At 44.1% G+C, this 21,981-nt stretch overlaps 1 long non-coding RNA gene across 1 annotated transcript; it reads left to right on the top strand.

Annotated features, from left to right (window-relative positions):
- The first annotated feature begins 1,202 nt into the window (after window positions 1-1,202).
- On the top strand, window positions 1,203-12,674 carry LOC124904860 (uncharacterized). The gene is made up of 2 exons (XR_007067501.1): window positions 1,203-1,599; window positions 12,440-12,674. It is a non-coding gene; the product is annotated as an uncharacterized LOC124904860 (long non-coding RNA).
- Window positions 12,675-21,981: the final 9,307 nt, after the last annotated feature.

The following is a 21,981-nucleotide window of genomic DNA, read 5'->3' on the forward strand; positions in this document are numbered from 1 at the left end:
CCTTCACTTTACTCTATGGACTGGCCCCGAATTCTCTCTTGCACGAGGTCCAAGAACCCTCTCTTGGGGTCTGGATCAAGACTGCTTTCTGGTAACACTATGAGATATAGAAGTACATACAGTATTTCTTTCTGTTGCCTGCAGCATGCAATCCTGTGCTTTGTTCCTACCAAGTGTTTATGGATTGAACAGGGAATTGAGTCTGGGGAAGCTTGTTTTCCAGTGGAGGGCAGGTGGATGTGTGATTTTGTCTGACTTTTGGAAGTAGCCAGGACCTCCCACTGTTACCATGGTGTATCTTTGGAACTGAGTTCTGTCTCTGGTCATTTATTTGTTTCCATCTGTCTTTGTCTCTCCTTTCTGGAGGGGAACATGTCCGAAGGCCTGGTCTACAGTGATCTCCCTCTAAACGAGAACAGACTCATTCCATCCTGCAGATGTGTATTACTCAAAGTGCTGTTTGCACGCAAAGAATGCTAAGTCCTAGCCCAGCAACTGGAACGTATCAACTCCTTCTCTCCCATCCCCTAGAGGCATGGCCCAAATTGCTGTAACCCTTCACCCTTCCAAGCTCTAGTACCCTCTGGCTTGGAGGTTGCAAAAAGGATGGCATGCATAGGTTTCTTATAAGCCAGGGCCCTAAAATTGTGCTTGTGGTGACTGGTGTAAGTGATTATACCACATTTCCTCCTGCCACAGGGTCATTATACAAGTTGTTCCCTTCACTAATACATTTCAAGCTCTCACACACATACACATACCTACTCCCCCATCAGATCTCAGCTCTGATGTGGCATCTTCAGGGAAATGTTCCCCAAACCCTGCATTTCATCATGTGACCTATTAAATAGTCTCAAAGGAAAGCACTGTATATCCTTCTTCCTTGCACTCATCACAGTTTATAAGTATACATTGTTGTATGTCTTGTTCTCCCATAAGACTGTAAGCTCAATGACAGGAGGGACTATATCTACTTTTTTTTTTTTTTTTTTTTGAGACAGAGTCTCGCTGTCAGGCTGGAGTGCAGTAGTATGATCTCGGCTCACTGCAACCTCTGCCTCCTGGGTTCAAGCGATTCCCCTGCCTTTCTCAGCCTCAGTCCCTCAGTAGCTGGGACTACAGGTGTAAGCTACCATACCCGGCTAATTTTTGCGTTTTTATTACAGATGGGGTTTCACCATGTCGTCCAGGCTGGTCTTGAACTCCTGACCTCAGGTGATCCACTCGCCTCAACCTCTCAAAGTGCTGGGATTACAGGCGTCAGCCATTGCACCCGACCATACCTAGTTTTGTGCACAGTGTCTCCAGTGCTTATCCCAATGACTAGAGCGTGGCAGCGCTCAGTTAACGTTTTTTGAATAAATGAATGAAGAATGGACATTTGGATTGAGGCAGTGAAGAGTACTAGTTAAGAGAGTGAGATTTGGAGCCAGATATTCGGAGTGCAAACCCAGACGCATGACCTTGGATAGTATCATTACCTCTCTCCACCACTGGTTCTCTGCCTATAACATGGAAATAACAATACCGCCTATTTCATAGCGCTATTGTGAAGATCAAGTGAGGGACTCTGTGTAAAGAGCTTCAATCAAAGCCACAGTAAGTCCTCAACATAGATTAACTATTATTTTCTACTCTTTTGGCCAACAGAAATATTACTGTAGTAAATATTATTTTACATATTTTGATCCACTTTTTATGAGTGTTCAGTAGATGAAATTCCTGTAAGTTGAATTGTCGCATCAGAAGGTTAATTTATTTGGAATTAATTTTTGTGTCTAGAGTGAGGGAGAGTTCATATTTAACTCTAATTACAGAAAAAAATATATTTAAAAAAATAGAGTGAGAGAGAGGTTTAATTTTTCACTTTTCCCAATGGAGAGGTATGGGAGGCCAAGACCTCTGTTAGTTCATTAAATATTTATTTTTATTTATTTATCTTTTAAAGACAGGGTCTCACTATGGTTCTCACACTAGTCTTGAACTCCTGGGCTCAAGCAATCCTCCCTCGTCAGCCTCCCAAAGTACTGGGATTACAGGTGTAAGCCACCACACCTGGGCACCCCTGTTAGTTTCTGAGTCTGCAGAATTAAGACACTTAACATGTAGTTAGTGGTGGCAAGCACTTACTTAGCTCCTTAAAGGGAAGATGTCACAGCTCCCTAAGGCCCACATATTGCTCATTCTCACCGAGATGGCAGAGCTTAGACAGCCAGGACTGAATTAGAGGAGTCTGCTGTATCTCCCCTGCTTTCAAACCCAGGATTATGGGGAGTCATATCATTAATACAATAGTTTCCAGCTCTGCCTCACATGACAGTGTCACTATTCCATAACCGCCCTGTGATCTACACTTGATTTCTAGATGTCTTGATGTCTGGATCCTTGTTAACAGATTTTTACCTGTGCTATAAGCCTAGAGCTTTTCAATTTAATATAAGGGCTTTCCATGCAATAAAGATTTCCAGCTTGGGGCCTCTTCAGTAGCAGGCCAGGCCATGGCCTCTTATGCTAGCTAGTTACCCCAATACCATTTACAAATTTCTCATAAATACAAGGGCCTATTTCTGGTCTCTATTCTGTTCCTCTAATTCTGTAGAAGATCTTTCTTCATTTCATTCTCACTGTTTTTGTTTTCCAAAAAACCCTTGGCTATAGTCTCATTCAAGAAAACTGGAGAATTAATTTGTCCAAATTGTGCCCTCAACCCCTGCAAACATGCTTGTCTACATGCGTGTGCATGCATGCCCACACACGCTCACACACACAACACTCTCGCACACTCATTTTTCCACTAGAATTTTCACTGGAATTACATTGAACCTTTGGGATAGTTTGGAGAAGATTGATTTCTTTTCAGTACCAAATTTCCCATAGAACATGGAATATCGTTCCTTTTATTCAGGCCTTCTGTTTTATGTCCTTCAGTAAAATTTTATAGTTCCCGTATGTAGGTCTCATGCATTTGGTATTCTTTGTTGCCATTGTCAGTAGGGCCTTATTTATTATATTTTTTCAGTTGGTTATTACTGAATATAGGAACACCATTTTTTACTTTTGCTACTTACTCATAGGAAGAGGTGAACTGAGAACATTTGAGACAGATGGCTAAGCTGATTTTAGCTGCCATGTTACAGGCAGAGTGCTAAATCAGATCCTATAAACAACTCCTAGGCAGGGATTAGAATGACCTATGGGTTGTTCACAGGGCGTGAAGTAGGCACAATGGGCCAATAACACCTTTACCTGGTGTGATTGCTAAATAGCACCGGATACAGATTTAGCTTTTAACTTATAAATATTATTCCTGAACAATCCAGATTGGTTTGCAGAATAATTAATTTATAGCAGCCTAGGCAAGGTGGTATTGAAGCATCTTTTTAGATGATCCACTTTTATCTGTTTTAGAAGGTTTGGATTTTCTTAGAGTGCCTTCCTTACAGCACGTATGACCAGTTTCATGCTGCTACTAGCCTAGGGCTTGAAGTTATACAAACTGTCTTTTGATCTTTGGTCTTTGTCATCAAGATAAGATCTTGTACTGCTTATTTATTTATTTATTTATTTATTTTGAGGTGGAATCTCGCTCTGTCACCCAGGCTGGAATGCAGTGGTGTGATCTTGGCTCACTGCAACCTCTGCCTCCCAGGTTCAAGCAATTCTCCTGCCTCAGCTTCCCAAGGAGCTGGGATTACAGGTATGCGCCACCATGCCTGGCTAATTTTTGTATTTTTAGTAGAGACGAGGTTTTGCCATGTTGGCCAGGCTGGTCTTGAACTCCTGACCTCAAGTGATCTGCCTGCCTTGGCCTCCCAAAGTGCTGGGATTACAGGGGTGAGCCACCATACCTGGCCTTTTTATTTTTAATATAACCATTTTCTAGCGATATAATTCACATGCCATACAACTCACCTAATGAAAGCATACAATTCCATGGTTTTTAGTGCAGTCACAGAATTGAACACCCATCACCACAGTTGAGTTCAGGACATTTTCCTTGCCCTAAAGAGAAACTCTGTACTGATGAGTAGTCAGTCCCATTTCCCCCAATCCTCCTCAGCTGCCGGTAACCACAAATCCACTTTCTGTCTCTGTGGATTTGCCTATTCTGTCCATTTCCTATAAAAGGAACAATACACTATGTGGTCTTTTGTGTCTGGCTCTTTTCACTTCTCAAAATGTTTTCAAAGTTCATTTGTGTTGTAGCATGTATCACTACTTCATTCCTTTTTATTGCTGAATACTATTCTGCTAGACAGATACATTACATTTGACTTATTTATTCATCAGTTGATGGACATCTGAGTTATTTATACTTTTTGACTATTATGAATAATGCTACTATGAATATGCATATACAAGGTTTTCTGTGGACATATGCGGACATTTCTCTTGGGTATATACCTAGGAGTGAGATTGCTGAAACATATGGTAACTCTATGTTTAAACTTTTGAGGAACTGCCAAACTGTTTTCCAAATCAACTGCACCATTTTACATTCCCACCAGCATTGCAGGAAGGCTCTGATTTCTCCACAACCTTGCCAATCCTTGTTATTACTTGTCTTTTTGGTGATTGCTGTTCTAGTGGGTGGGAAGTGATACCTCTTTGTGGTTTTGATTTGTATTTTCCTGATGGCTAAAACTTACTGTTTCTTGACTCTTTTTTTTTTTTGACAGAGTCTCACTCTGTTGCCCAGGCTGGAGTGCAGTGGTACAATCTCGGCTCACTGCAACCTCCATCTCCCAGGTTCAAGTGATTCTCCTGCCTCAACCTCCCGAGTAGCTGGGATTACAGGCGCCCACCACCATGTCCAGCTAATTTTTGTATTTTTAGTAGAGACGGGGTTTTACCATGTTGGCCAGGCTGGTCTTAAACTCCTGACCTCAGGTGATCCACCCGCCTCAGCCTCCCAAAGTGCTGGGATTAAAGGCATGAGCCACCACACCCGGCCGACTCTAACATTTAAGAGCTCTCTTTTGCCTTTCCTTGGAGCTATCCTGGCTAGATTCGTGATAGGGGTTTCACACTTATTTTTTCTCTGTAGATTCCAGAAACCCACACATGTAGACAACGTGCCATATGATTATTGTTATTCTTGCCGAAGGGGTGAGGCCTAAACAGAATCTCAGGAGGAAAAAAGAATCTAGAATGTGTGCAGCATATGTCCAAAAAAGAAAATTGGTTGTTTAGATATCTCAATCAATCATACACCCTTGTCACAGGCATTACAAAACTCAAACTAAATCAGGAAACAATTTTTTTGACTGGAAGCCCTCATTTATCACTAACTCTTAGTGATTCACTTGAAGAAAAATTAAGGTGTCCTATTTGACATGAAAATGCTGCCTGTAGTCTTGTTAAGTTCTCTATGAGCATATGCTGATTGACTTAAGATGGCAGTGTTAAGAATGGATGGGTAAGAAGGAAGTATAGTGTGTACTTATAATAAAGATTGTGGCCAGACGCGGTGGATCATGCCTGTAATTCCAGCACTTTGGGACCCTGAGATGGGTGGATCACTTGAGGTCAGGAGTTCGAGACCAGCCTGGCCAACATGGTGAAACCCATCTCTATTAAAAATATAAAAATTAGCTGGGCGTGGTGGCAGGTGCCTGTAATCCCATCTACTTGGGAGGTTGAGGCAGGAAAATTGCTTGAACCCGGGAGGTAGAGGTTGCAGTGAGCTGAGATAGCACTGCTGCACTCCAGCTTGGGCAACAGAGCAAGACTCTGTCTCAAAAAAAAAAAATCTCTAAGCTAAGGGTACAAGTGCCAACAGAGCTCAGGTTACTCAGAGAATTATCTATAAGGAGATAAGAAAAGAGAAAATACATAGCAAGTTATCAAAGATAAGAGAAAGAAATGGAAGAAAAAGCCAATGCTTTTGTCAATGTGAGGGCATCTAAAACCTGAGCTTCAGAGATTAAAGAGAACTGGAGGCTCAGAAAGGCTTAGCTGTGGCAAGTGGTATAATAAACTGGCTCCCCTGTATTCAGTGCTTGCTGTATGTAAGGCATGAGGCCAAGTGTGGCACATAAATTCTTGCATTTATTCCTCATAGCCCCCTATTTCATAGGTGAGGAAAACAAAGTTCAGAGACATTATGTGGCTTTCCGAAGTCCACAGGTGGTATTTGAAACCGAGTCTTTCTGGATTTTAATGACTCAGAACTAAGGGTGTTTCTGCAAAGTAATGGAATATAGCAGGACTATTCTAGTCTGAGTATAAATAGAATAAGAAGAAAGTAGAGATTTCTTAGTAAACTGCCAAGAGAAAGACCCAGATTACAGGCAACGTTAGACTCAGATAACTATATGAGAGAATTAAGACTAAGGGTTCTCTAAGAAAAGGCTAGGACTTACAAAGACTTAGATGGTCTCTATAATTATATGGGAAAACCAATGACCGACTTATCCATGCACGCATGAAACTGTGTGTGAGTAGCATTCTCGCCGTACCCTTCATAGCCCAATAAGCTCTCCCATCTGGAGCTGAGTAGGGCTGTTACTTTCAAGACTGGCGTTGTTATATTTTCCTGGGAGGAGTGAGGCATTGTCAGAGAGACTAAAAAGGAAAAGATGACACGACTCCTGTCAAAGCTCTAGGAAGGAGGTCAGTCCCTTGGGTGACGGAGGTGGACAATGAAAGGCTTGCGAGGCCTTGTCTTTTACTCCAGCTGGTGATATGGCCTTACAAGTTGTGGCTGCAACGAACATTCTGACTTATAACACAAAAAGGCCATCCAACCCCCACGTTTCTCAAAGAAGCATCACCACTAAGTGATGCTTTGGCAGTTTTCAGAGTAGAGCCAGCATAAGGAACCATTGCTTGTCCTAGTAGCTCCTCCCTGAGACACGCCTTTATGACTGAGACCTCCTGGAGCCAGGGCCTGGCTAGGAGAATGAGCAGTTTCCTGAACTGGACAGCTTGGGGATTATAAAGATCAAAAGTCCTGGGTGCATCACCCTTCATTCATCACATGTTAATAGGGGCTAGTTTGGACTCTGGCCAGGGGTGGAAAATTCTTCCTGCACCTCCTTTTACAGGCTTTGTGTCAATCAGCCTTTGTTTCCTCGGTTGGGATTTGTCTCAGGAGAATCCCAAACCATTCCAATATGGAACAATCACAAAGGCATGGACTGTCAGAATTAATAGGCACTTAGAGGACCATGCAGTCATCACCAAGCATTTTGCCAAAGCTTGGAAGTGAGCAGCTTGGTTTGAGGCATGCTACAGAGTCAGTAAGGCCCATGTTATGGGACAGGCATAGCCGCAGGAGCACCCCTTGCTTGCACCACACCTATTTTTTTTGAACCAGCGTCTCAGTCTGTCACCTAGGCTGGACTGCAGTGGCACAATCTCGGTTCACTGCAACCTCCACCCAGGTTCAAGTGATTCTCATGCCTCAGCTTCCTGAATAGCTAGGATTAGAGCATGCGTCACCAGGCCTGGCTAATTTTCGTATTTTTAGTAGAGACAGGGTTTCACCATGTTGGCCATGCTGGTCTCGAACTCCTGACCTCAAGTGATCTGCCTGCCTTGGCCTCCCAAAGTGCTGGGATTACAGACGTGAGCCACTGTGCCACACCTTTTTTTATGAAAAACTCTGGGCTTTTAAAAAATGAACATTTAAGTTATATCTTCATAAGGAATTGTGACAGAGAGACATTGGTGGACGGTGAGGAGAACAGAGAGACTGTGCAGATTTAGATTTTGAGTGTATCTCCCACCTCAGCCCCACCTGAAGGAAGACGTGTTGAGGGTCTCTAAGACTACCCACAGGTTTGGTAATTTGCTAGAAGGAATTACAGGGTGTAGCATATAGTTATACTTGTGGCTAAGATTTATTACAGGGAAAGGGTACAAAGCGAAATCAATGAAGGAGAAAGCTATGTGGGGGAGTCCAGAGAAAACCAGGCGCTTCCATGGTCCTCTCCCAGTACAGTCACAAAGGATGTGCCGAATTCCTCCAGCAACAAATTATGACAACACACAGCAAATGTTGTCTACCAGGCTGGGCACAGTGGCTCACACCTGTAATCCCAGCACTTCGGGAGGCCAAGGCGGGCAGATCACCTGAGGTCAGGAGTTCAAGATCAGCCTGGCCAACATGGCGAAACCATCTCTACTAAAAATACAAAAATTAGCTGGGCATTGTGGCACATGCCTGTAATCCCAGCTCCTTGGGAAGCTGAGGCAGGAGAATCGCTTGAACCCAGGAGGCAGAGGCTGCAGCGAGCCAAGATGGCACCACTGCACTCCAGCCTGGGCGACAGAGCAAGACTCCGTCTCAAGAAAAAAAAAAATGTTGTCTACCAGAGAAACTCATCAGACTCAGTGCCCAAGGTTTCTACACGGGGGTTGGTCACATAGACACCCTCTGCCTAGCATGTACAAACACTCCAGACTTCCAGAAGGAAAACTGGTATTCAGTATAAGTATAAAGCATGTTGTTTGCACAAATATGACCTAGGCCTAGTGAGCCACTCTTATCATTTAGTTTCATATCGGTATAGGGAACTCTTTACCAGGCAAGTTCACAGAAGTCAGCCAAGATCCAGCCTTTCGAGGCAGGCCTTTCTCAGGATAGCAATCTCAGGCCCTCTATGTGGATGCTTTACTACACAGAAAGGTAATCTCATTTCATTCTTCATTGTTAGAACTTAGTAAATTGCCATCAATAAGGTAAATGGAATTGTTTACGATCAAAAACCTTACACTCACTTTTCTAATAGGTCACCTCTATCTGAATGTCCTAAGATACTTCAAACCTAGCATGTCCAACACTGAACTCATTATCCTCCCCACATTCTGGCTGTTTCTTTTGCACACATGTTCCTAGTGAACAGCTCCCCCGTCTCTCCTATTGCCGAATTTATTCTTAACGTCTACCTCTGTTATACCCCCCGCAACTTAACGAGTTGCCGAGTCCTAGAGTTTTTACTGCTTAAATATCTCTCGGTTTTCTTCCTTAGCCCTACTGCCACTTCCTTGGTTCAATTTTGTCATCTTGCTGTAGGACAGTGGCTTTGTAATAGGCCTTTCTCTTTTTTTTTTTTTTTTTTTGGAGAGGAGTTTTGTTCTTGTTGCCCAGGCTGGAGTGCAATGGTGCGATTACGGCTCACTGCAACCTCTGCCTGCAGGGTTCAAGAGATTCTCCTGCCTCAGCCTACCAAGTAGCTGGGATTACAGGTACCTGCCACCACGCCCGGCTAATTTTTTGTATTTTTAATAGAGACGGGTTTTCACCATGTCACCCAGGCTGGTCTCGAACCTCTGACCTCAGGTGATCCGCCTGCCTCGGCCTCCCAAAGTGCTGGGATTACAGATGTGAGCTAACTTGCCCTGCCAGTAATGGGTCTTTCTCTATATAATTGGTCTCTGTATCTGCAAGTTCCACACCACACCCACAGATTCAACCAATTTTGGATCAAAAATCTTTGAAAAATAAAACACATTCAAAAATAACAATATATCTATGTTGGGTTAAGATAAAAAATTATTTTTAATATAAAAGTATTTTTTAAAAAAGAAAATTAAATAACAATACAATTAAAAATTATACAAATTTTAAAAATATAGTATAGCAACTATTTACATAGTTTACATTGTATTAAGAATTATATGTGAACTAGAGATGATTTAAAATGCAGGAGAGGCTGTGTGTAGATTGTATGCAAATCCCATGCCATTTTATACAAGGGACTTGAGCATCCATGGATTTTGATACCCATAGGGGTCCTGGAACCAATTCCTCCCTTCACCCGCTCTCTGCACATACCAAGGGACAACTAGAATCACTCTTTTTTCCCCACTCATCATCTATGCTGTAAAGCTAGCAGTTTTTTTCTCAGTTTTCCTTTTTCTTAAAAACTACTTTTTAACTTTCTGAGATTCACTAAACTATTTATTTATTTTTTTTAGACGGAGTTTCACTCTTGCTGCCCAGGCTAGAGTGCAATGGCGTGATCTCAGCTCACTGCAACCTCTGCCACCTGGGTTCAAGCGATTCTCCTGCCTCAGCCTCCCGAGTAGCTGGGATTACAGGTGCGTGGCACCACGCTCGGCTAATTTTCGTATTATTATTATTATTTTTTTTAGTAGAGATGGGATTTCACCACGTTGGCCAGGCTGGCCTTGAACTCCTGATCTCAGGTGATCTGCCTGCCTCGGCCTCCCAAAGTGCTGGGATTACAGGCGTGAGCCACTGCGCCCGGCCAAACTGTTTCTTTTATTTAAAAAGTAATAAATGCACATGGTAGAAATCCAAACAGTACTGAAAGATATGCAATAAAAAGTAAGTTCTCAGCTGGGAGTGGTGGCTCACGCCTGTAATCACAGCACTTCGGGGGGCTAAGGGGGGCGGATCACCTGACATCAGGAGTTTGAGACTAGCCTGGTCAACATGACAAAACTCCATCTCTACTAAAAATACAAAAATTAGCTGAGTGTGGTGGTGGGTGCCTGTAGTCCAAGTTACTCAGGAGGCTGAGGCACGAGAATCACTTGAACCCGAGAGGTTCTATGAGACCAGATCGCTACACTGCACTCCAGCCTGGGTAGCAAAGTGAGACTCCGTCTCAAAAACAACAAAAAATGTAAGTTCTCTCGTGGTTCCCTTCCCCAGAGATCCTTACTGTTGACATTTGTTGTCTCTCCTTCTACAAGTTTTCTCTGCCTGTAAAAGCATATCCTTAAAACATACATGCTTTCCACACCTCACACACAAGTGGGAATCCACTGTACACACTGGTCTGCACTCGGCTCTTTTCATTGACTATGTTACCTTAGAGAGCTTTTCTCATCTGTAAATGCTGGTCTCTCATTCTGTTAGAGCACTGTAGTATTCCAGTGGATGAACGTATTTATTTAACCAGTTTCTCTTGATGGATATTTAAGTTATTCCTAGGTTCCTGCTATTCTGAAGAGTCACCTTTTGAAAACGCAAATGTGCTGGGTCCGTCCCTGGCTCAGGCATCTTAAATGACTTCCTGCTGTTTACAGCTAGGCCTCCAGCTGGGGAGTCATGGATGCAAGCAGGTTGCCAGGGATACCCGAGGCCTCAAGAGAAATAATGGCATGTGTTCCTGGAGTTCTATGTAAAAATGTTAATTGAACTGCTAAGTGGTTAAAATGTTTTATATGGAGTCAACACAATTCTATTATGGTGTCAAATATAGAATTCTCATGCATTTTTCAGATGGTGGTGGGAGACTTCAAAAGAAATTTGTGGAGGTTTTTTCAAGCTACACTTCCAGATTCCCCTAAAGGCTCATGTTTTCCTTTCTTGCCTGAAGGACATCAGTGGAAAGATCTGAGCACCCAAGTCCACAGGATACAGCCAGAGCCTACTGGCATAGATTTGAGAGTCCACGTTTGATGCACGTAGAACTACTTGCTATTTTTCCTATTCCCTTTGCCTGGAAGGTTTCTGTCCTTTTCCATCTGGTATACTTACTACTCATCCCAAAAGGCAGTAAGTACAGCCTACTGCTGAAAAGTATGGACTTTGGAGCCAGACTGCCTGGGTTTGAATCCTGACCATGTCATATTTCTAGCTGTGTGATCTCGGGCAAGTTACTTAGCCTCTCTGAGACTCAATGATCTCATTGTAAAATGTAGGTACTGAAAGTAACTGGTAAGACTGTTATGAGGTATAAGTGGGTTAATATACGTAAAGTGCTTAGAACAGTGTTTGGTACGTGGTTAGCACTTGATGAAGGTATTGTTGTTAATGTTATTATTTTTATTACTCAAGGTCTAGTTTCCATGATTCTCCCAGGTACCTTCTTCTGCCTTCCCATAACATCTGCTTACAGTACTCAGCACAATATTCTGTACTTTCTCCTCCCCTTTAGGGACGTGCTCTTTTGCAGAGAGGACCCTGTCTTATTTATCCTCATATCCCTTGTGTGGGATGCATACTAGACAATCAGTTGCTGTTGAATAGGTGTTAACTGAATGAGATAATAATTATAATAATAACATAATTATTATAATAATAATCTGAATTATTATATCTGTCTGTCTATTTGATTATGCAGTGACCAGTGATTTTTGGCCCTAAAGGGGCTTTTCACAGACCCCAACATGGTTTGTAAATAAAAACTTCACTGTAGAAACCATTCACACTAAACCAGTGCTTCTCAAACTGCGTTCATGCAGTTTATGGGCATTTTCCGAACACAGGTTCCCTAGGTTTGGGAAATTCTAGGTTACATAAAAGTAAACAGATATCTTAGAGCCTTTTCTAGGCTCATGTCCATAGAGGAATGAGTGGAACGTGGGATTCGGTTAGTAAATTTCTTAATCTTTTTTGACCAGAGCGCTTTTTTTTTTTTTTTTTTTCGCGGAAGGTGAAAACATCTGGTGGGTTAATTCTATGGAATATAGTTGTTGATAAATTGCACGAACTTAGCTCCATTCTCTCTTCCAGCTGATTTGCCTAGAGCCTGGGAGTGTCACTGACGTGCCATTTCCTGCCCTGACAGCATCTCCGCTTCCGTCCTGAAACCTTTATCAAGAAACAACTGTGCAGCCCACGAATCCATTCAGTCAAGATGTATTGAGTTTCTGCTATGTGTACTGACTGCGGGGAAAACAGGATTCTTGTCCTCGAGGAACTAGCTGGGGACTCGGGACAGAGTCAAACACATGCAACATGAGGCCTGGTATGTTAGATGGGCAGAGAGCCGGGACACTGCTGGCTGCGCAGGGAGATGGGGGCCGGAACGTTTTTGAGGAGGATGAGGCTTTGATTTCTCTGGTCCAATCCTCTCAGTGTCAAGGTGGGTAGGTGGGGAGATTAAAGTCTAGAGAGTGGTAGGTGTTTTGTTTTGTTTTGTGAGCTCAAACAGGTAGTCAGGGGCAGACTGGGAACAATATTGTATTTTCCCATTGCATCACCTGCCTCTGAGGCTCAAGTATCAAAATCAGAGAATCCGTTCACACAAAAAGACGAAACCAGGGAACACTTCCTTCCTTGTAGCTGCCTGTGGGTCCCTGAACTTGTTGAAGGCCATTCTGGGTTGGATATCTTTTCCGCTTCCATTTTCCTATCAATGACTCAAGACCATGTCTTATTTTTATACACATTTGTTTTCTCATAGCTTCCTTCTCTAATCATTTCTTGGCGAAGATGTTTGTGGCTTACAACATGCTGCAGTCAAAGCAGGGCACGCTTTGGAAGCCAGAGGGCGAGGTTCGGCTGGCTGCGGTTTGCCAGTCTGGTAATTGCCAGTGGGAGGAAAGTGACACAGCGAGAGCAGGGCCTTCAGAATGCCAAAGAGTTTGCGGTACTGCGGTCCCTGGTGTTCTGTGCAGATACTAAGCTAACAGGAATGTAATACAAGCACAGCAGATTGGAATGAAATAGGCCACCCACTCTCACTCCAGGCTCCTCAGTAGCTGCCCTGCCTGCTCATCCGGGGGCCCAAGGCTCACTCGGTGCCAAGGAACTAGCGTCAACTCCCCAAGAACAGCACTGCTCACTTCCCCCAGCAATTCTTCCCTGCTTTCAGAATGAAATCCACATCCATCCTCTGAGCCTCCCTGGTCTTCTGTCCCTATCACAACGTCTCTTCTGACCTCCCTATCTGCTCCGCCTGCTTTGTCAAGAACATGCCCCCAGCTTTCCCTGTCTTGAGCGTTTCCTGACACTGTCTTCTGCCTCTGTTTGTTGAAATCCCAAGACTTTTTCAAGGCCCATGAGCCATTCACAATTGTGTTCAGCTGCATATAAGAGAAGTGCTGCTATTTGGCTGAACCAAAGAGGGATTCTTTTATTTCATGCAACAAGAAGTGTGGGGACAGGCAGTCTAGGGCTGGGGTGGCAGCTCAGGAATGATTCCATCCAGGAACCAGGTTCTTTCCATGTGCTCACTCCTCTTTCTTTCTTTCTTTCTTTCTTTCTTTCTTTCTTTCTTTCTTTCTTTCTTTCTTTCTTTCTTTCTTTCCTTCCTTCCTTCCTTCCTTCCTTCTTTCCCCCCTCTCTCCCTCCCTCCCTCCCTTCCTCTTGAGACAGTGGTCTCATTCTGTCACCCAGGCTGGTGTGTAGTGGCACAATCACGACTCATTGTAGCCTCGTCCTTCTGGGCTCCAGCAATCCTCCCACCTCAGCCTCCTCAGTAGCTAGAACTACGGGCTCACTGCACCCTCTGCCTCCCAGGTTCAAGCGATTCTCCTGCCTCAGCCTCCCGAGTAGCTGGGACTACAAGAACCCACCACCATGCCCGGCTAATTTTTGTATTTTTAGTAGAGATGGGATTTCACCATGTTGGTCAGGCTGGTCTCAAACTTCTGACCTCAGGTGATCCACCTGCCTTAGCCTCCCAAAGTGCTGAGATTATAGGCCTAAGCCACCACTCCCAGCCTCCACAGGTATGTTTTGATTTAAACTGAATTGAATTAAATGGGAGAATGATGGTATGGCTATCGGAAAGGGTGTTGGATGTAGAATTACAAAACATGAATTTGAATCCTGATATGACCACGTGACTTTGTGTGAATCACACGGACCTCAGTTTCTTCATCTATAAAATTAGGAGACTCAATGAAATGGTCTCAAAATTTTCTTCCAGCTTTAAGAACTTGGGGACTCTTATGAATGGAATCAATTAGCTGCATTAGGGAATTCCAAGGAGGTGGAGCCCATTCAGGCCCAATGACAGCCAGTAAAACAGGGAATGGAGAAATCCGGGCACTTCTCACTCAATCCTATAGTTTATGGGCCCAAGACAAGCCTAGAGGGGCAGAAAGGTGAGAGCTGGAAAGTAACAGGGAACTGGGCCAGACCAGCATGGATCAGGAGGCTGGAGATGAGAGGTCAGTCCTGGTGTAAATAAACAAGTGCTATTTTAAGAGGTCGCCTTTCAGGAAGCAGGAACCCTCCACTGCCCAGACATTGAAGCCCTACTGAACCTCACCTCCTAATGACAAGAGAAGGCCTCTCATTATGACTTTGGCACAGTGGCTTATGCCTGTAATCCCAGCATGTTGGGAGCCTGAGTAGGGAGGATCGCTTGTGTTCAGGAGTTTGAGACCAGCTTGGGCAACGTAGAGAGACCCTGTCTCTACAAAAAATAAAAAATTAGCCGGGCGTGGTGGGACATGCCTGTAGTCCCAGCTACTCAGGAGGCTGAGGCAGGAGGATCATTTGAGCCCAGGAGGTTGAGGCTGCAGCGAACTGTGATTCTGCCACTGCACTCAACCTGGGAAACAGAGTGAGACCCTGTCTCCAGAAAAAAGAAGAGTTCCTTTAAGTTTAGGCGAGGTAGAGCCCCACATCTGGCATCATGTATAAACTGGAATGAATAGCCAGTGTGTCTGTCTCACATTCCTATTTGGGGATAGAGCAAGACTTACGGGTTGAAGGCCCAAGCCTTCCCTTGTGTTACTTTGAGCAAGTTAATTTTCCTCTCTGGACTTCAGGTTCTCGTCTGTAAAAGACAGGCATTGGTATATAACACTGGTGTTTAAATTCTTTAGAACTGGAACAAAAACAGAACAAAAGCTTGTATAGGTTCCCGAAACAGCAAGCCATCCTCTTGGCAAGGAATCCTTCAGGATCTGTGGTGTCTCGGAAGCACCTCTGAAGACTTGGGGCCACAGTATAAAAATGACTACACTGGTGACCTTGAGCTCCCTCCCAGCTCTCTGACCCTGTGTCTTTCCTGGTTATTATTTTTTTCCCCCACATTTCTTATCTACTGAAGACTGACGCCAAGTATTGGTGTTTCTTTTAGACGTAACTGAGTTAAGAAGCTCTCGCCATGACTCGATCACAAGCTGGCAGGTTTCGCCCCTGTACTTTGCTTGATTCAGATCCTTCCTCATTCTCTTTATTGAAGTTTTAAGTTCTTCATTTTCCCTTCCCCACCCCAATACAGGGCTTGGTTCTCAGCCCCTTTTGTCCTTACCATACACATTCATTCATGAGATGCTATGACAAATTCAGTAATTCCTATCCCTTGTCTCCAAGTTTAGTGAGTCATGAGCAGTGAAGCTGATGCTAAAAAGAAATGTCACACCTGGATGGGACTGTTGAATCTACTCAATGCCTCACCTCAGAAGTGGAAGTTGCTGACTTCAATATTTTGTTTTTGTGGTCTCTTGAGGGAAAGACCTTTTGATGCTGGCTTCACAAGTGACCTGCCAGTCCAGTTTCACTAGCGCTTACCAAGTGATAGGTAACACAGCCAAAATTTGTGATTCTCGCTTGAACCCAGGAGGCAGAGGTTGCAGTGAGCCAAGATCGCACCACTGCACTCCAGCCTGGGCGACAGAGCAAGACTCTATCTCAAAAAAAAAAAAAAACCCACAAAATTTGTGGTTCTTTATCCTCCTGTTTCAACTTATTAATAATAGTAATGATGACAATAACTACAACAACACTCAGCTATCATTTATAAAGTGTCTACAAGGCGCCAAGCACAGAGCCAGGTGCTCCACATATATTATCCTTCATTTTCATAACTTTAGAAGGCATTAATAGATATTATTGACCTTACTTTGCAAATGCATTAAGTCTCATGGAAATTAAGTTCTTTGCCCAAAGTTGCCTGGCTAATGAGAAGCAGAGCCTAGATTCAAACCCGAGTCTGTCTCATTCCAATATTCATGTTCTTTCCACCTCTCCGTGAAGAAATAGTATGCCTTTTTTGGGGTGTTGAAGATTTGTGACAATTTTGATAAGTGAAAGCAAAAAGGGAAAGAGAAGAGAAAAAGCTATTAACTTAAAATCCGTTACAACTGTACTAGGAAATTAAGTGAGAATAAATTATAAAGTCAAATCTAATTTCTGAGGGGAAGACACTGACTGACATAGATAAAAACATGTTTATGTGACCCTTAGGTAAATCGTTCCAACTCTCTGAGCCTCAGTGTTGTTATCTACAAATGGGAGAATCAAGGCACCCTCCTACAAGCGGCGGCTCATCAGCTCACTTGGAAAATGTAGTCATCTTCTCAAAGTTTTCTTTTTCTTTCTTTCTTTTTCCTTTCTTTCTTTCTTTTTCTTTCTTTCTCTCTCTCTCCTTCCTTCCTTCTTTCCTTCCCTCCCTCCCTTCCTTTTTTCTTCTTTCTTTCATTTTCTTTCTTTCTCTCTTTCTTCTTTCTCTTCCTTTCTTTCCTTCCGTCCCTCCCTTCCTTCCTTTTTTCTTCTTCCTTTCATTTTCTTTCTTTCTCTCTTTCTTCTTTCTCTTCCTTTCTTCTTTCTTTTCCTCCTTCCTCCCTTCTTTCCTTCCCTTCCTTCTTCCCTCCCTCCCTCTTTGTTTCTTTCTTTCTCTCCCTCCTTCCCTCCCTCCCTTTCTGTCTCCCTCTTTCTTTCTCTTTTTTCTTTTCCTTCCTTCCGTCTTTTTCCTCCCTTCTTTCCTCCCTCCTCCCTCCCTCCCTCCTCCCTCTTTTTCTTTCTTTCTTTCTTTTTTCTTTCTCTCTTCTTTTTTTTTTTTTTTTTTTAAGAGATAGGGTCTGTTGCCCAGGCTGGAGTGCAGTGGCATGATCATGGTTCACTGCAGCCTTGAACTCCTGGGCTCAGGTGATCCTCCTACCTCAGCCTCCTAAGTAGCTGGGACTATAGGTGCATGCCATCACACCCAGCTAATTTTTTAAAAGAAATTTTGTAAAGACAGGGGTCTTGCTATGTTCCCCAGGCTGGTCTCAAACTCCTGGGCTCAAGTGATCCTCCAGCCTCAGTATCCCAAAGTGCTGGGATTATAGGTGTGAGTCACTGCAGCCAGCTCAAATATTTTCTTAAATGAATGTAAGGTTGAGGATGCATTATTATAATGGCTAATTTAGATCTAAAAAATGCTTTGCAGTTTACCAGATTCACTTATGTACATTCTCATATAATTCTCCTGATAATCCCTTGAGGAAGGTGTCCTCATAACTAGAATCTTAGCTAACAACAGATCAGCGAATGTTGATTGAATGCCTACTGTATGCCAGGTTATTCTTGAATCTGAATAGGATACAGAGTTGACTAAAATAGGGATCCCATGTGACTTTTGTTTTATTTTTATTATTTTCCCACAATGAATTTATCACTAGAAAAGATTATCTTGGCCGGGCGCAGTGGCTCATGCCTGTAATCCCAGCACTCTGAGAGGCCAAGGTGGGCGGATCACCTGAGGTCAGGAGTTCAAGACCAGCCTGGCCAACATGATGAAACCCCGTCTCTACTAAAACAAAAATTAGCTGAGCATGGTCGTGGGCTCCTGTAATCCCAGCTACTCAAGAGGCTGAGGCGGGAGAATTGCTTGAACCCGGGAGGGGGAGGTTGCAGTAAACTGAGATCGTGCCACTGCACTCCCAGCCTGGGTGACAGAGTGAGACTCCATCTCAAAAAAAAAAAGAAAGAAAGAAAAGAAAAGAAAAGATTACCTTGGCCAGGCACAATGGCTCACACCAGTAATCCCAGCACTTTGGGAGGCCGAGGCTGGGGGATCATCTGAGGTCAGGAGTTCGAGACCAGCCTGGCCAACATGGTGAAACCCTGTCTCTACTAAAAATACAAAAATTAGCTGGGGATGGTGACAGGTGCCTGTAATCCCAGGTACTCAGGAGGCTGAGGCAGAAGAATTGCTTGAACCCAGGAGGCGGAGGTTGCAGTGAGCCGAGATGGCACCATTGCACTCCAGCCTGGGTGACGAGTGAAATTCCGTCTCAAAAAAAAAAAAAAAAAAAAGAAAGAAAGAAAGAAAAGATTATCTTATCTCTCACCCAAAGAAAGACAAGACAAGAAAAAAAAAATTCAGACCGTGCCCCTTCAAGGAAATCAAGTCTAGTGGAAAAGGCAGATGTGCACAGTAAACCAACACACAATGCAGATCTGATCATGGGAAGTTTTGTCAAAGAAATACAAACAGATGGGGCAATTAATTTGGACTCTAGGAGCAGGAGGCCTTTAAATGCTCTGTGAATCCCTGTCCAGCCTGCCTCACAGAGTGGTGTCAAAGTTCCATAAAATGGACAAAAGCTCTTCAGTCTTGCACATCTGTAAAGGATTGATTGTGATGATTTTCGTTCATGTTTCCCAGCAGAGTTGGGAGTATTGGGATTTCTGTTTTGCTGGGACAATTGTGTTGTGCCAGGGATGTCTGAGGATTGTCTTCTGATGTTGTGAGTCTTGGAATTCACATTAGGTATGGCAGCCCGGAAGCCGCTAGGTTCAGTTCTACCAGTATATTGACTTTTAACCCCGTTCCCTTCTTCGTCCCTCTCCCTCCACCTTCTTGGGTTATACTATCTTCTTCCTTCTTCTCCCTTCCTATACATCTCTTTCATCCTTTTTTACCTTTTTTCTCACTATGTTGGGGTCTCCAAGACCACCCCCAGGTTCACTGCTTCACTAGGAGATGTCAGAAAACTCAGCATATAGTTGTACTCACAGCTGTGACTTTTTTTTTTTTTTGAGATGGGGTCTTGCTCTTTTGTGTGGTGTGTGTGTGTGTGTGTGTGTGTGTGTGTGTGTGTGTGATGGGTCTTAGTGATAATTTTGCTGTAAAGACGCCTCATCCAGAAAAGAGTTGGCATAGCAGGCCTGAGACTGCCATTCTTAGAGAAACCTGTTCACAAGTTTGGCTTTTTTCTTTTCTGGAGTGCAGTGCTGTCATCTTGGCTGACTGCAACCTCCACCTCCCAGGTTCAAGAGATTCTCATGCCTCAGCCTCCCGAGTAGCTGGGACTACAGGCGTGTGCTGCCATACTGGCTAATTTTTGTATTTTTAGTAGAGATGGGGTTTCACCATGTTGGCCAGGCTGGTCTCGAACTCCTGACCTCAGGTGATCCACCCGCCTCGTCCTCCCAAAGAGCTGGGATTATAGGCACGAACCACTGTGTCCGGCCACAGCTGTGGCTTATTACAGGGAACAGGTACAAAGCAAAATCCATAAAGGGAGAAGGGGATGGGGCAAAGACAGGGGAAACCAGGCCCAAGCTTTTGGAAGTCTTTTCCCGGTAGAGTCACACAGGACATGCCTAATTCCTCCAGCAAAAAATTGTTACAACACATGTCAAATGTTGTCTACCAGGGAAACTCAATAGAGACTCGGTGCCCAAGGTTTCTTCTGGGGATGGCCACATGTACCCTCCACCTACCATATACAAAAATTCCGGATTTCCAGAAAGAAAACAAGTGTTCAGCATAAACCATGTTGTTTGTACAAATGGTTTAGTGCAGTGAGCCACTCTGATCACTTAGGGAATGGTGAGAACCCTCCCCAAGTCTGTGTTCCCAAATGCCCATCAAAAGCCAAACTTGGCTGGGTGCAGTAGGCTCACACCTGTAATCCTGGCATTTTGGGAGGCCAAGGCCAGTGGATTGCTTGAGTCCAGGAGTTTTGAGACCAGCCTGGACAACATGGCAAAACCTCATCTCTACAAAAAATACAAAAATTAGCCGGACGTGGTGGCACATACCTGTAGTCCCAGCTACTTGGGAGGCAGAGGTGGGAGGATTGCTTGAGCCTGGGAGGTGGAGATTGCAGTCAGCCAAGATCACACCACTGCACCCCGCACCCACCACACACCACCTCCCCCCCGCCTAAAAAAAAGCCAAACTCGTGAGCAGGTCTTTCTAAGAATGGCAGTCTCAGGCCTGCTATGCCAACTCTTTTCTGGACAAGGCATCTTTACAGCAAAATTATCACTAGGACCCATCAGCAGGATGAGACCAACCTGCCGTACTGATCCTATCAGTTATATGCCTTTTAGGAGCCCTGTACTTAGCCAGGTAAAACAAATCCCATCAGCCATAAAGATCTTTAAAGGTAAACTTTAAAGTATTTTTATGAACGTTTTTTACCTGGCCCAAGGCAGCAATTCAGACACAGTGCAGCTCTGTCCAATAAGATGAAGCTGACCTGAATCCCTTCCAGGGCTAAGGCAGTGTTGTCACAGGAGAATACACACACAAGAAGTCCAGCCCCAGAGGGCACATGTTGTACCCCTGGAAACAAAGAGTTGACAATTATTGGGGCACCCCAAGCTGCATACATTAGCAGAACAGGTTGACAAGGCCCCAAGTGTGACCTCCCATCGCAGGGCTCCCACCCTAGGCTTCCAGTTTCATTCAATTAAATCAGTTCAGGCTTTGGTTTCAGAGGGACTGCCTGAGGATGTCAGTTACCAATGGTTTGCTTGTCTGTGACACAAGCTCGCCTGCTTCCTGAGTGTGCAGGACCTCGGGGGGTGTTCTGTGCAGGAAGTGGAGGGGCTGGGTCGCCCCCTGCTGCTCAGCGTGTCAGAGTTCAGAGTTCTCCCAGAATTAGGAAAGGCAGCACCGGGAGTTTTCCCTTCAGGAAGAAAGGAGAGCTTCCAGAAGCAGTTCTGAAAGACAAAGGATATTAAAGCCCTCACTGCTCCCCTGCACCTCCCAGGGTACTAGGGTTTCTGTCATCTCTCTGTTGTTTCAAAATCGGTGTGTCGCATTCAGCCATCATAACTTTACATTTTAAAAACCATCCCCTGCTGTCATCCAGACCTCTCACCTGGAAGGGTTGTATGCAAGAGGGACAAAAGCATTTTCATCAAAAAACGGTTTTATATAACTTAACCAGAAAGATACATCATGCTCAGGAATGGGTCAAGGAGGGAATCCCGAATTTTCAAAAATTTTCAAACTGGGTTTATATAACCTCCCATCCCTTTTATCCTGAGCAGCCTGGAAAAGCTCACTCACCTACTGGGCACAGTTGCACTTAGTAACCAAAATGCCTCACTAAGGTGTGTGTCCCAGGACAGAGAGGCATGGAGCCAGGCTATTGGTCCATTGTTGCAAACTGCAACTAGTCCTGCAAGTTGAACACAACAATCAACAGCAGTGAGGCATCTCCAAGAGGGGGTCGAGGGTCCACCTATCAGGAGTGAGCAAAGGGCCCTGGTCCCTGTGATGTGCCCTCCCTGACCTGCAGCTTTCAGCAGTAATCTCAAGTCAGACTGCAAGTGGTCTCTGTATCAGAAATACAGAGCCTATCTGC

Source organism: Homo sapiens, chromosome 20 (assembly GCF_000001405.40).
Source record: "Homo sapiens chromosome 20, GRCh38.p14 Primary Assembly".
NCBI classification, from domain to species: domain Eukaryota; kingdom Metazoa; phylum Chordata; class Mammalia; order Primates; family Hominidae; genus Homo; species Homo sapiens.